At 58.3% G+C, this 15,150-nt stretch overlaps 2 annotated features.

Moving 5' to 3' along the window:
- Positions 770–929: an enhancer, noted in NCBI's record as "active region_18220". NCBI's record gives its function as "activates an Ori minimal core promoter by ATAC-STARR-seq in GM12878 lymphoblastoid cells {active_cell/tissue: GM12878}" and the evidence as "EXISTENCE:reporter gene assay evidence [ECO:0000049][PMID:35858748]".
- Positions 5,305–6,222: an enhancer, noted in NCBI's record as "H3K27ac-H3K4me1 hESC enhancer chr20:61613574-61614491 (GRCh37/hg19 assembly coordinates)". NCBI's record gives its function as "activates a minimal SCP1, AML or CMV promoter by ChIP-STARR-seq in naive and primed H9 embryonic stem cells {active_cell/tissue: H9 hESC(naive and primed)}" and the evidence as "EXISTENCE:reporter gene assay evidence [ECO:0000049][PMID:30033119]".

The raw sequence follows: 15,150 nt of genomic DNA on the forward strand, positions 1-15,150 counted from the left end.
TAAATGAGGCTGCACCTGAGGTGGGAGTTAGGGCTTCTGCACAGGAAGGGGAGGGACACAGTTCAGCCCAGCACAGCGAGGCTCCATTCCCGCCTGCCCTGGACCCAGGGTCTACCAAGCAGCGAGGCTACCCGAGAGCATACGACAGCCTGGCGCTGCCCTGACCTCCTTGGGGACTGAGGGGTGGTGGCGACAGACGGCTCACAGCTGAGTCCCTCTCCTGGGTCTCACGCTAGCAAGTTGACGACTGGTCAGCATGGGGGACAACCCCGAAGCCACGGGGGCTCCAGAGCACCTGTGGGCCGCAGAAGCTTCTGTCGGGGCTGCATCGCACCCCAACTCCTCCCCCGCCCTGCCTTGCCCCCCAGCCCCAGGACCCTCCGTCGGCAAATCTCCATCTCCATCAAGTTTGTGGGGGCCCAGCCTAAGGCGAGACCCCAAGCCCCTTGCTGGGAGGGCTCCCAGCAGACCCTCCCTATTAATAAGGAAAAAAAGCCAAACCGAGTTGAGAGGACCACGGCAGATGACATGTTCGGCCACAATGCCACAGGACTCAGTCCAGCCAGGAGGAAGCTGGGGACAGATGGAGCCCTAGGGATGGGCCCAGGCAGGAGGTGCTACTGCAGGGGATGCGGGTCTGTGGCGAGAGGGGTGACACAGGCTCCAGAGCCTGGAAAGCAGGGCCCGGAGGGTCAGCCCACAGAAAGCAGGGCCTGGAGTGTCAGCCCCACAGAACACTCACAAGCTTGGAGGCGCCAGCCGCGCTGCTCTGATGGCTGCGCCCTGTGTGCAACGGTAAGCTGTGCCTGCAACATGGACTGTTATTACGTGTCATTATAAACAGAATAGAAACCCCCACCTGATGCCACGCCCACACCCACTAGAATAGCTGGCACTGTGGCCACGCCCAATAGAATGGCTGGCACGGTGGCCACGCCCACTAGATTGGCTGGCACTGTGGCCACGCCCACTAGAATGGCTGGAACTGTGACCCACGGGAGGATCAGGAGGGACCGAGGCTGTGGAGGGGTCCTAAGAGCCTGCCTGGTGTCGGGGAGCTGCTGATGCCCCTGTTAAAGTGGAGCACGTGGAACTGGCCCCCGAACCGTCCCCACCACCCTGCTGGGGCGGCCGGTCCCTGAGTGGGTACGAGGCCAGGGTGGGGTCTCACAGCTCCCGTGGGCCATCTCCCCTCCTGGCGCACTTCCTCTTTCTGGTTTTAGGATGTCACCTTGATAGACGTCACAGAAACCGCATACCGTTATCTGAGAAAGTAAAACACACGAGTGAGCCCAGGCATCCTCTGGGGTTTGGTCAGTATCCTTCGAGCTGCTGGGCGTCTGTGCACCGCGGGTTCCCCTGGGCCCCCTAATGGGAAGCGTTCTCCTGCCGGGTCGTAGGGTCTCCTGTCAAGGGCAGCGGCTGTCCCACCCCCATCTCCCTCTGCTGAGACACCTCTGCTCGGCACCCCGCTCCCTGGGCCTCGCCAGGGACACATAGCAGGGGGCTGTGAGCCCCAGAGGCCAAGAAAACTGCTCCCTGCTTCCAGCCCCAGACACCACCTCGCCTGTCCCAGGTGGCTGAGAGTGGGATCTGGGATTGGCTACTTCCTTTGGGCATCTCCCTGCCATTCATACCCAGGCCATCCTCCTTCCTTCCTCCCCCAGGGCCAGGATGGTCCCAGGCAAGGATGAGAGGATTGCTCACCCGAGCAAGGCCCGAAGCCTTTCCTGAAGCTCATTTGGGCAATTGGAGGCTGGAGGTCCCCCCGCCCAGCCCAGGAAGACTCAGCCTCCGCCCCCTCCATGGCCCCTGAGTCTCAGTTCTGCTTCGGCAGCTCCTCCTGTCCCCAAGCGTCCTCTGTTCCCGCAGCCTGAGCCAGCATGGGGAAGCTGGAGACAAGCCCTGAGCAGCCGGGCCCCTCCTCCTCAGGGACCCCTCCGGAGCTGGGCACGGGCAGCACTTCCTCACCCCGTTGTCCTGGGGGGCCGAGCTTGGTGGATGGCAGTGCCCAGGGACGGGGGGACCCTCGGAGGCCGGGGTGTTTCCTGTGGACACTCAGTGTGGGCTTCTCACGGGGCCTGAGGGGTTTTCAGCGAAGGAGTTGCCTCCGCCCTTTAGGCTGTTTACGTGCTCCCCGTGCCACCATTTTCTCCCCAAATAGACAATCTGGCTACAGGCTCGGGAAGGCACCGGCGCGGCTGACCGCTGCCCCCACGCTGACCCTAGGACGGTCTGTCTCTGTGTTTTTGCCAGCATCCCATGGAGCGGATGGTTTTAGGAGGGACTTTCTTGGACATTCCCTTGCTAAGCCAGGGAACTCAAGGATCAGCGGTCACGTACCCAGTTTTCAAACATTTTCCATTTCTACGTTTAATTGGAGGAAATGATTTTACCAACATTAACTTTTTTATGTGGAAAACTACGAACAAGACTTGGCCACTGTCAAAATTTGCCAATTATCACGCCCCATCTCTCTTGGGCGCCTTCAGTTTCCTGGCTGGGTTTGAAGCTCTAGCTGATGTCAAGTGGAGGTTATTCTTCCATTGGCCTTTAGTGGGTGACAAAGGTGACCCTGAGCTCAACAGCACCACGCGGGCCCCAGGCAAAAGCAGTCGAAAACCTGGATCACGAATGTTTGGGGCGCAAACAGCTGAGCCAGGGTCTCCCAATAAGAGCTGAGAACACATACTGGCTCCTGTGCCCGACCGAAGCTCGATGCCCTGGCTGGTCCTCCCCTCATCGTGCGAGGGCCAAGGACGTGGCTCTGTCTGGCTGGGCCCTCTCTGCCCCCTCTGCCAGGAGGGCTGAGGTGATAGCAGCTCTGCCCAGAGTGGAGTTTCCTGCCCCTCCCACTGCAATACAAAGCTCATGATGGTCTTGGATTTTGCATATTGATCAGTCCATACAGAGCAGTGACCGTGGGCAGCAAGTGGCTCAGGCTCGTCTTGTCCCTGGGCAAGCTGGGGCCTGGGAGAGGACAGACAGATGCTCAACACTCCAGCACGCAGAGCCCCTCAGCACAGCTCAGGCTCCTTCATTAGCATCCCTGCCTGCCGTGCAGACCCACCCAGGGTCACAGGCTCCTGTCCCTAGTCATCTCCAGGATTGGCCTAATTGGCGGCTTTTCGGCAGCTCTCAGAGAGAAGGGTGAGGCGCTGCGGCCATCCCCTCGTGGGCGGAGAGCTGCCGTCTCAGCCAGCGTTGGGGGGGACCCTGCAGGGGAGGCGAGGAGACAGGACTGCCTGCCAGCCCTGCCCAACCCTGCCGGCTGGTCGCTGTCTAGAGCTGGCAAGGAAACTCGGTTTGTTTGCAGAAAAACGAAGAGAGGAGAATAGCCCCTGAACTCATGCAGCCCACGGTTGCCAGATTTGACTGGGTCCTTTCAGTCCAGCGGCCCCAGGCAGGGACAGGTGGCTTCCCTGCCAGTCCTGGTCTGAACCCCACGGGCGAGGGTCCTGCAGTCCCAACCCTGCATCTCAGGCTCAAGTGCGGCCCCCCTCGCTGCCCAGCTCGGTGGCTGTGCCTGCTCACGGGGAGGCCCTCTCTGCGCACAAACCACCGGTGTCTGTCCCGGACAGAATCAGTCCCATCTTCCTTTGCTCACCAGCACGATTCAAAGGGGGCTGAAGAATAAATGTTTTCCTAAGTTTTAGCTGACATTCAATTTCAATGACTTTTTAAACAAAGTAGCTGTTAAACGTGCAATGTTTTATGGTTTCCTGATGTCTGACAGGTGTTTTTGCCCATGTGGGAAGCAGATGCTAATCGCATTCTCCCTAATAGCTCATAAATAATAAGCACTGAGTGTTCCCTTTGTGCGCCGTGCTGCCAGTGGCCAATTTGTTCTTCAGAAGTGGCCACGCTGCCTGTCAATCAGCTCTCGCCCGAGGCACTTTTTGGTGATTAGAAGCCCCTTGGAGAGCGAGAACTCCAAATTAGTTTTAAATAAAAAATAAGAATATTCATGCTGCTGAACATCTAAAGGTAAAGGAGACAACACAGTCCAAACCTGCGGCCTAGGTCCGGCATCGCTGGTGGAGGGGCCGCGCGCCCAGACCCACCGGGGTCCCCGGGGACGGGGACGCGGACGGGGTGCAGACGGCACCACACAGAGAGGCACGGGGTGGGGGTGACAGGCACGGAGCCGCTTGGCGGGAGGGGCTCAGGCAGCCTCCTGTCGGCTGAAACGCGCGGCCACACGAGAGCTCGGCTGCGTTCCGGGACTGGCGTAATTGGCAGGCTCCAGGCAAGAGCGCTCATGCTGACTGGCGCCTTTGCTGGGACTTGAAAGCAGGGGAGGGGATGTGCCTGTCTCCTTGAGAGGAGAACAAATGTTCCCTTTGAAGAAGTTTGCGATGAGCGGGGCCAGTGTCAGAGGAGATGGCTTCTGGGGTGGCGGGCGGTGGCGGCAGGTGGCGCTGGCCCTGCCCCTCCCCCCTCTCCCCTCCCCCCCTTCCCCCCTCCCCCCAGCAACCTCCGTGGGTCTCTCCTTTGGGGCAGTCTCAGCTGGGTGGGCGCCGCTGCCACCCGCGTCCTCAAAGTCACTCTTGCTGTTGTCCCTTCTGTGCATCAGAGTGGGGCCGTGTGCGCCCTTCTGGGGTTCCTGCTGGACTCCCCTCGGCCCCAGGCTCTGTCCGTGGTGCAGGGAGGTCCCGCCATCCACCCAGGCTCAGAAAATAGCATGAATCAGCTCATGCAGTGGGGAAGTGGGACCCTGGGCTAGGGGAAGCCAGGGGCAGTGTCCTCAGGGTAGAGAGGCCATGAAGAGCTGGGGAGGGCAGGCAGGGCTTCTGGACCAGTATGGGCAAAGGCCCGGTGGGTTCGGGGGCGGTGGTTTAACGCCTCTCTGTGAGAACCCAGGATGGGCGAGGGCTCCAAAGGTGAGTTGGCTACACAGAACCCTCCAGAATCTTTTGACCCTCACTGTGCTCCTTCCGACGCTGAGGGTGACCCACTCTGAGACCTCGGGGCTGTCTCCCTCCTTGCCAGCGTAGAGCCTGTGGACCATGGGTGCAGGTGTGGGGCCTCAGGGTCCAGTAGGCCAGGGAGCGGCCAGGGAGCGGCCAGACCAAGACCTGCTGGGGGGCAGTGAGCAGGCTCTTGGTGGGACAGACTGGGGGACCGTGACTCCACTTGGGCTGGGGACAGCAGAGGGCTCTGGGCATTGGGAGAAGGGGGCAGGCTGAGAGAGGGGCAACAGGAGGCAGCAGGAACAGGCTGGGCCCATCTGAGGCTGGCGAGGCCTTGAGTGCAGGGACCCTGGAAGGCAACGGGCAGTGCCCAGCTCTGGCCTCCTCCAGAAGTGCCCCGACAGCACCAGCTGCCCCAACCCCTCCCCACCTCTCTCCACTTCCTCCCAGGGGTTTCCTTCCAGCGACCACAGCTGCCAGGCCACAAGCTTGGGGAGGATCCCCATCTCTCCAGACCCCACCCGGTTCTCCACACTGAGGGTGCCCTGCCCTGTGCCTTCCCTGTGCTCACAGGCTCTGGGGGTCCCTGACGGCCCTGGGACTGGGCGTCCTTCTCTGCTGGATGCCAGAGCTGTGAGCCCAAGGGGCCAGGAGTGCAGGCTGCCCTCAGGATCTGGCATGAGAAGCCTCCGGGTTCTCAGGCCTGGGGGCAAGTCCTGGGACTGAGCACCGTCTCCACTGGCCTAAGCTGTGGGCAGTGGGGAGGGAACATGGAGGAGGTCACATGTTTAAGTCTGAAAACAAATGATGTCCTCCCACTTCACCCTGCCTGGCCCCCACAGCCCACGGCCACTGCCCCCAGGACCATTTCACAGCTATAATTCTTGTCCTTCCTGGCTTTCCAACTAATGCATTGTGATTAGGCTATGCATTAATTAATAGGCAAAGACAAATCCATTTCATGGTGCATGCATTCTCGAGTTGGCTTCCGGAGGCTCTGCAGGAGGGACTGAAGCCTGGCCGGGGGAGGTGCCGGTGGCTGAGCCTGCTCCCAGTCGATGGCTGAGGACCCGGCCGCACCTCGATGGCTCACACGGTCAGGGAACCCGGGTTGTCCCTGGAAGGGGGAATAGGGAAGCTGTGGAACCCATGGGTGGCCTTAAAGGTGGCTGCGAAGAGGATGGGGGATGGTGGTGCCTCCTCACCTGCCCTCACAGAGGACTGAGGGCCCTGCCCCAAAACTGCAGGCCTGTGGCCTCCGTGGCGGGCACACAGGACAGGGTTTCCATCACAGAGATTTAAGCTGCCCTCATCACTCCCATCCCCTTCCTACAATGGCATCCCCCGCGCTCAGGGCAAAGAGCAGACCCCTCCCTGTCCCCAGTACAGGCCCCGACCTCCATTCCAGCCAGGGCACCTGGCACCGCCCTCCCCAATCTTAGTCCCCCTCCCCCACCCACACACCCTTTCCCCTCCCCTGAGCACCCTCATTGCTGCCTCAGGGCCCTGCATGTGCTGTTCCCCTGCCTGGATGCCCACCCCCAAGGGTCACCTCCTCCAGGAAGCCTTCCTTCTTCTCAGGCTGAGTTGGCTGGTTACTGCTGTGCCTGCTCTTGACTGGGGATTCTACCGGGGCGAGGCCAGGCTGCTCTTATCCATCGTCATGTCCTCAGTGGGCACACAGAGACCTGTGACCATCAGTCAGTGTGACAGGGTTAAGGCTGCTACCATCGACATCAGTGCCATCTCTTCTTTGTGATTGTCTTTGTAAAGAATGTGCCAAAATACACATAACAGAAAACTTACCATTTCAACCACTTTTTTTTTTTTTTTTTGAGGCAGGCCCAGGCTGGAGTGCAGTGGTGCAATCACAGCTCACCGCAGCCTTGACCTCCCAGGTTCAAGCAATCCTCCCGCCTCAGCCTCCCGAGCAGCTGAATTACAGGCCCGCACCACCACGCCCGGCAAATTCAGCCATTGTTAAGTGTGCTTTTCAGTGGCATTAAGGACATTCACAATGTTGTGCAACCATCACCACCATGTACTTCCAGAATCTTTTCAATTTGTCAAAACACACCTTGTACCTGTAAGCCATCACTCCCAAACCCCGCCCCCAGCCCCTGGCAACCACCAATCGACTTGTTGTCTCCGTGGCTTTGCAATTTCTGACATTTCATGAAAGTGGAATCACAAGTGCCCTCCGTGTCCGGCCTCTTCCACAGAGCGTTGAGTTTTCAAGGTTCGTCCCTGTTGTAGCAGGAATCCGTGCTTCACTTAGGCTGCAAGGGCGTACCATGGCATGGAGGCACCTATGGGTGGACGGCGTTTCGCTGGTCTGTCCTGGGCTGAGGGCTGAGGGCTGGACACCCCCACCTGGCTCCCGTGTCCTGTTGAAGAGGTGTCGAATCTTCGCCGCTCTCGAGATGCACGTGTGCAGCTTTGGCCGATCCCCTGTTTTCAGCTGCAACTGTCTCCCGAAGTCACAGATTCCCCCTTGGTCTTTGGTGTGCGGGGAGGGCTACAAATCCTCCCCAAGAATGCCCACCCTGCCCCCGACTGGGGCAGATTCTGGTTATCCATAGGAGGCCCCTCCTGCCAGGACAGGGCGCATCCTCTCCGCCTCCTGACCTCCCTGCCCTGTCCTGGGCTGGAGCAGCCAAGCCCTGAGCTGGCGAAGCAACTCGAGCTCTTTGCATATGCGTGGCCGCCCGAGTCTCCAGCTAGCCCCCCTGCCATACTACTAAATATTTTAGCAAATAAAAATTTTTTAAACGTGCGGCCAGATGTCCAGGTTGACAAAGTGCTTAAGGCGTTTGACTGATAAAAAGCTGGAACCCTTGGTAAATGGGGATTTAAAACAAGCCCTGAGGCAAGTGTGTGATATTAAAAACATCCTGGGCTCTTTTGTGCAGGGCCCGGGTGCACAGAGGCTTGAAGGCGAGCGTCCATCTGTCGCCGCCGTGTGTCCTGACACTCAACAAAGCTGGATCTTGGAGCGGTGGCTGCTCAGCAGCAGGCCTGGGTGGCTGGGCGCACGCTCACCACAAAGGAGGTGCCATCAATATTCATGAGCTGGGCCTGCGTGGCTGGGTTTACAGAGAGGACGAGGCAGCCACAGGCCAGACACCTCTCCGTGGCACTGGTTCTGGGCCTTGGCTGGCAGGGAGGAACAAGTTCTGCCTCCAGAGTCCCTGTGAGCCTCCGAGAAACAGGCCAGGACTCTACAGAGGCCACAGTTCTGGAATGGATGAGGGGTAGAGATCAGCCCAGGCTCCATGCGAAGCCAGAGGCTCCCCAGACTGAGAGGAAGCGAGGGAGAGAGAAGGCCCTGGAAGGATGAGAGGCCCTGGGAGGGAGGCCCAGGCCCACACAGGCACCCTTTGCAAACAAAAAAAGCAGAAAAGCTGAGAACAATGAGGGAGAACACCTGTCAGAATCCGTGAAAAGCCTGACCTCAGCTGTTTTTAATGCAGAGGTTGATTTTCACACAATGCTTGCCAAGTGGGTGGAGGCCCCAGGGGACTGATGGGAGTCCAGGACAGGGGACATCATCGACACACAGAGACGCTGGTCCTTTGTGGTCTGACCTGTCCATCCATCACACTCTGATTTGCTGATTTCAGCCAGTATCACCAGGGCTTCGCGCAGGGTCTACAGCGCTCTCCTGAGGCCCTCCCCAATCATCTTATGCCATCCTGACACGGACCACATGGAGGACTGGTGCCTTAAGAGGCGGGGCCCGGGCGGGCTGGGGAGGACTCCAGCGTCTGGAAAAGGCCTGGCCTCAAGGGAGTCCTGGCCCCGGCTTCCCCGGCATCTGAGCATCTGAGAAAGGCCACTGCACGTGGTTCTCAGGCTGCCGCAAGGACTCCGGGGACACATTTAGCTCCAGGGCCTGGCGCCTGAACCAGGGTCCAGTCTGGACCTGGGAGCTGGCTGACATGGGTGAGGCCACCCCAGTTCCTCGCCCGTCTTGGTCCCAGAGTCCTTCTGAGAGGACCCGCTGCCCACACTCGTCTGGGGTGGATGGAGGCAAGTGTCTCCTTCCTGATGTTAGAACACGAAACCTGACAGGTGCTTGGACCTGGGGGTGAGGTGGCCCCTGCTCAGGTGAGGTGCTCAGGAGAGGCAGGCACCAGGCAGTCCCTCGGGGCCCCACAACCACAGTCTTTCATGCAAACTTGTTGATCTTGACACCTGCTTGGCCCAGCTCTGTCAAAGTCCCTCTCCCTGGTTTCTGCCCAGGCAGGCTAGGGGACACCACAGGTCATCTCTTCACAGGAGCTGGCGCTGTGGGAGGTGAGACCTTCCAACCTGCGTCCAGCCCTCTGCTGGACCTTGTCAGGCCTGAGGACACCTCTCCTAGGCCTAGAAATGACCTACAGTGAGGAAACCTGGGGAGAGGGGCCGGGGAGCAAGAGCAGGCACTTCGGGCTCTGAGGATGAGGTGGGATGGAGGAGAGCCTGGGGCTGTGCAGCAGGGCAAGTGGTATTGTGCAGCTGGGCAGTGGGACAGAACAGGTGGACTGGGGTGCAGGTGGACTGGGGTACAGTGGGAAGGGGGCATAGGTGGGCAGAGGGTGCAGGTGGTCAGTGGTGCAGGTGGGCACTGTTCAGGTGGGCAGAGTGCTGGTGGGTAGGGGTGCAGGTGTGCAGGGGGTGCAGGTGGGCGGGGATGCAGATGGGTGGGAGTGTAGATGGGCAGAGGTGTAGGTGGGTGCAGTACAGGTGGGAAAAGGGTGATGGGGCAGAGGGTGCAGGTGGGCAGAGGGTGCAGGTGGGCGGGGGTGCGGGTGGGCGGGGGTGTGGGTGGGCAGAGGGTGTGGGTGGGCAAAGAGTGCGGGTGGACTAGGGTGCAGGTGGGCAGGGGTGCAGTTGGGCAGGGGGTACAGGTGGCTGGAGTCTGACATGGGGGTGATGTAGGCATGGGGGTGCAGTGGCCTGTGGGTGTAATTCTCCACTCTGCCCTTTATTCAAATGCAAATGTCCAGCCCTGTGAGTTCAGAGCCTTGGAACTAGGAAACTGATTTTAACAGGGGAAAATGTGACCCTAGAACAGGACTATCCTCCTGAACACTGTGCCAGTTGGTGTCTGCGAACTCCGCCCTGTTGTGCATTCTCACTTCTAAGAGGTTGTCCACCCCTCCTGGGTGTCTGTGGGCCTCATCTGCTGAGCCCAGGGGTGGCAGGAGCCACGTCTTCACCGTCATTTCACAGACCAGGATACGGAGGCTCACAGTAGTCAGCGGCTTGCCTGGTCTCTCGGGCATTGGTTCAGGCTCTGGCCCCTGCCTTGCAGGGATGCCCCAGTCTCCTATCCCAGCCTGCACCCTCCTGGGGGCCACGCCAGCATGGTGGGGCGAGAGGGTTCTGCAGAGAGAGCCTGGGGGCACGTTTGGGATCTTAGCCCTCTAGTGCCCTTCCATTTTCTACTGGGGCAAGGAGCGTGAGGCTCCAGCATCCCCTCCAGAACGTTCTTGTGGAAGCTCCGCTTTGTTTCAGAACAATGGAAGCTTAACATAAATATGCAGAGGAAATGTGACGTCACAGTTTTTATTGGGACCTGGAATCACTCCTGTGATAGAGTCATTACCTGGGTTAAGCTCATTAAGTTAATTAACGTGAGCGTTATTATTGCTGATAAAAGATAGTCTCAGGGGATTGGTAGAGCCAGCGTAGCATGCAGGGGTGGGCACAGGGGGGATGGGGATGGGGGACTCAGCAGAGACAGCTGGGGGACCCGGGGACCCCTGCTAAAGCTGCAAAACACAATCACATTCTCACACCCGGGCTGCCCCCACCCTGAGGACACGGGTGAACACGGAGCTCGGGGGACACGACCATCCAGCGTCATGAAAGCCAGGCGTGCGAGCCAACTACTTGTACCTGCAGGACAGGAACAGTGAGGATAGAGCGATGGGCACAGACCTCACCCCGAGGACAGAGGTCATTGTCACCAAAGACCCCCGAGAGAGGACGGCGATTGGTCTTGAAGGGTCGATGATGGACATTCCTTCGTATGTGGCCCCTCTTTTGGGATGTTCGCTTCTAACTCCAGAGCTCGGAGACTCATCTGAAGGTTGAATTTAGACCCCATCATTATTTTTACATGTGTGGAAGGATCTTTGGGTGGTTTTCTTTATATTTTATATTATTTTATTTTATTCTATTTTATTTTTTTGAAACTGAGTCTCCCTTTGTTGCCCAGGCTGGAGTGCAGTGACACCATCTCATCTCACTGCAACCTCCACCTCTCAGGTTCAAGTGATTCTCTTGCCTCAGCCTCCTGAGTAGCTGGGACTACAGGTGTGCGCCACCACGCCTAGCTACTTTTTGTATTTTTTAGTAGAGACGGGGTTTCACCATGTTGGCCAGGCTGGTCTCCAACTCCCGGTCTCAAGTTATCCTCCTACCTGGGCCTCCCAAAGTGCTGGGATTACAGGCATGAGCCACTGTACCCAGCCTTGGTGGTTTTCTTTAAATCCTTGTCAGTGAACTATCTGAGTGTGGTGGTTTTAAAATGTCCCCCATTTTTGTGGACAATCCTCCCTCAAAAGCAGGTTTTCTTAAGTGTGAGCCAGACTTAGCAACTGGCTTCTCATGAATAAAATGTGGTGGAAGGGGCCGGGTGCGGTGGCTCATGCCTGTAATCCCAGCACTTTGGGAGGCCAAGGTGGGAAGATCACCGGAGGTCAGGAGTTGGAGACCAGCTTGGCCAACATGGTGAAACCTTGTCTCTACTAAAAATTCAAAAATATTAGTTGGACATGGTGGCGCATGCCTGTAATCCCCGCTACTTGGGAGGCTGAGACAGGAGAATCACTTGAACCTGGGAGGCGGAGGTTGCAGTGAGCCGAGATCGCACCACTGCACTCCAGCCTGGGTGACAGAGCGAGACTCCATCTCAAAAAAAAAAAAAGAAAAACAAAGAAGTGGTGGAAGGGACAGTGTGACTTCCAAGGTGAGGCGCTGCCCGCTTTGGGAGTCCACGTGGCGAGGAACAGAGGCCGCCTGCCTGCAGCCGCGGAAACCCTCCTAGAAGTGGATCCTTCAGATGAGCCATGGCCAGCCCCTCGACAGCAACCTCCTGGGAAAAACGTCCAGCTAAGCCACACCCCAACTGGAAGTGGGTCCTTCAGATGACCGGAGCCACGGCCAGCACCTCAACAGCAACCTCCTGTGAAAACCACCCAGCTAAGCTGCACCCCAATTCCTGTTCCTCCAATACTGTGGTCAGAGGGGCTCAAAGCAGAATGAGTCCATCTTGAGTAGGGAGTGGGTAAAATGAGGCTCAGACCTGCTGTGCTGCACTCCCAGGGGTGAGGCATTCGGAGTCACAGGATGAGATTGGAGGTCGGCAGGACTGGTATCACAAGATGCAGGTCATAAAGACCCTGCTGGTAAACAGGATGTGGTAGAGATGCCGGCCAAAACGACCAAAACCAAGACGGTGAGAAGAGTGGCCTCTGCTCACCCGCCCTGCTCATTACACACTAATTATAATAGGTTAGCGGCTAAAAGACGCTCCTGCTAGTGCCATGGCAGTTTACAGATGCCACGGCAACATCAGGAAGTTACGCTATATGGTCCAAAAAGGGGAGGAACCCTCAGTTCTGGGAATTGCCCACCCCTTTCCCAGAGAACTCATCAATAATCCACCCCTTGCTTAGCATATAATCAAGAAATACGTGTAAGTGACCTTAGTCAGCAGCCCATGCGGTGGCTCTGCCTATGGAGTCCCCGTTCTTTTGTTCTTTTACTTTCCTAATTTACTTTCACTTTATGGACTCGCCGCAAATTCTTTCTTGCATGAGACCCAAAAACCCTTTCTTGGGGTCTGGATCGGGACCCCTTTCCCTGCTCGTCTTCTCTGCATCAGCCCAGACCCCACACCTGTTTCCTGGCGTGGACATGGAGGACTGAGGCCATCCTCCCAGCCACTGACACACGCCCCTTCTGGGGTGGCCCGGCTGGCATTGCCTTCTCCTAACGTTCCCGGGGTGGCCCGGCTGGCATTGCCTTCTCCTAACGTTCCCGGGGTGGCCCGGCTGGCATTGCCTTCTCCTAACGTTCCCGGGGTGGCCCGGCTGGCATTGCCTTCTCCTAACGTTCCCGGGGTGGCCCGGCTGGCATTGCCTTCTCCTAACGTTCCCGGGGTGGCCCGGCTGGCATTGCCTTCTCCTAACGTTCCCGGGGTGGCCCGGCTGGCATTGCCTTCTCCTAATGTTCCCGGGGTGGCCCGGCTGGCATTGCCTTCTCCTAACGTTCCCGGGGTGGCCCGGCTGGCATTGCCTTCTCCTAACGTTCCCGGGGTGGCCCGGCTGGCATTGCCTTCTCCTAACGTTCCCGGGGTGGCCCGGCTGGCATTGCCTTCTCCTAACGTTCCTGGGGTGGCCCGGCTGGCATTGCCTTCTCCTAACGTTCCTGGGGTGGCCTCCAAGGTGCTTGTGACTTTCAGGAGAGCCCAGCAAGGCCACCCTCCGTGCTCCTTGGTCTGAGCATCCTGAGGTGGAGGGTGCATGACCTTCTGTTCAAGAATGCAAATGCCTGGACCAGGAGAGCGTCGGTGTGTGCCAGAGAGCCGCCTCCCTGCATACTTTCCACCCCAGGCAGGGGCTGCCTCTATGGGGCCAGCCGGGAGACTTGCCTGCAGCTGCCTTGGGCCCTGAGTTCCGGCTCCTCCGAAAGCAGCAGGAGGCCCTGGGTCTCCTTCACCCGCCACCACCCCATCTGCAAGACGGGAACGAGAGCCTGGCTTCGTGGCTTGCACTGCGGAGTGCTTAGGACCTGACCCACCCAATCTCCACAGCTCTTCACAGCCTGTGAACGTGGTAAAACGCGTGATTAGGTTAAGGGTCCCAGCGGGGAGTGCGCCGGCTTGTGGGCACTTAGTACCTGAGCCCACCCAACCTCCAACAACTCCACAACGGCGGTTCCTGAGCTGGGCTATAGAGCGATCAGTCCCTCACCCACCTCATCTCCAACACCTCCACGGTAGGGGCTCCTGAGCCAGGCTGCTGAGCACTCAGTACCTGATCCACCCAATATCCAACACCTCCACAGTGGGGGCTCCCGTGCCGGGCTGCAGAGGCCCACAGGACCACACAAGGGTCTCTGTGCCCAATTTCTGGGCACCCTGGCTGGCTGACCTGTGGGGTGGGGGCAGCTTTGCTGCCATGCACACTTGATGGAATTTCATACTGACAGCTCGCCCACCCTCTCCTCTCATTCCTCTGGGAGAAAAAAACTTACACGAAAGATGTGAACAGGCCCAAGTGGAAAGGAAAGCCACCACCCCAGGAGGATGCCAAAGGGCGTGGGGGCACACGTCCACGCCGCAGCCCAAGTTTAGGATTTTTCACGGCAGGTGCTGCTTTCATCTTCTGGAACTGCTACCGTGAAGTACCACAAACTGGGCAGCTTAAAACAAGAGAAACTGATCCCCTCATGGTCCCGGAGGCCAGAAGCCCCAAATCAAGGTGTGGGCAGGGCATGAGTCCTCCTAGGGGGATTCTCCTTGCCTCTTTCTGCGTCTGGTGGTGGCCGTCAATCCCAGCTCCCAGCACTGCAAGCTGCTGGCAAAGGCCAGGAAGTCAGAGATGGAACCTGAGCTGCTGCTCAGAGGAGCCGGGCTCAGTCACACACACGATGCAGACAGTTCCCAGATCGACTAAGGAAGCAAGTAGCCAGAAGCACTGTTTGCAACAGGCTGTCATTCTGCTTTTTAGGGAAGGGATATTTACTCAGATACACACTGTCTCTGTAGGCAGATGAGAAACCAGCCACTGCGCGGCTTCTGAGGAAGGTGCTTGTCCAGGAGGCAGGAGGACAGGGAGGCCCGATTCCCAGAGCTGCATCTCTACGGAAACCGTCCTCTACCACTGGGAACATTCTTAACAGAAGAAAATACCCGCAGTGGCCTGAGTGGTAGCCCCCAAGAAGGTAGGTCCACACCCTAATCTTCAGAGCCTGTAAATGTGGTAAAACACATAATTAGGTTAACTGTCCCAAGAAAAGGGGCTTATCCTGGATCATCAGAGGGGCCCCTGATGCCATTACCTGTGGCATGGTCTGGCTCTGTGTCCCCACTCAAATCTCATGTTGAATTGTGATCCTGAGTGTTGGAGGTGGAGCTTGGTGGGAGGTGGTTGGACCATGGGGGTGGCTTCTAATGGCTTCTAACCATCCCTGAGTGCTGTCTCATGATAGAATTCTCACGAGATCTGGTGGTTTGAAA

Source organism: Homo sapiens, chromosome 20, assembly GCF_000001405.40.
Source record: "Homo sapiens chromosome 20, GRCh38.p14 Primary Assembly".
Lineage (NCBI taxonomy): Eukaryota > Metazoa > Chordata > Mammalia > Primates > Hominidae > Homo > Homo sapiens.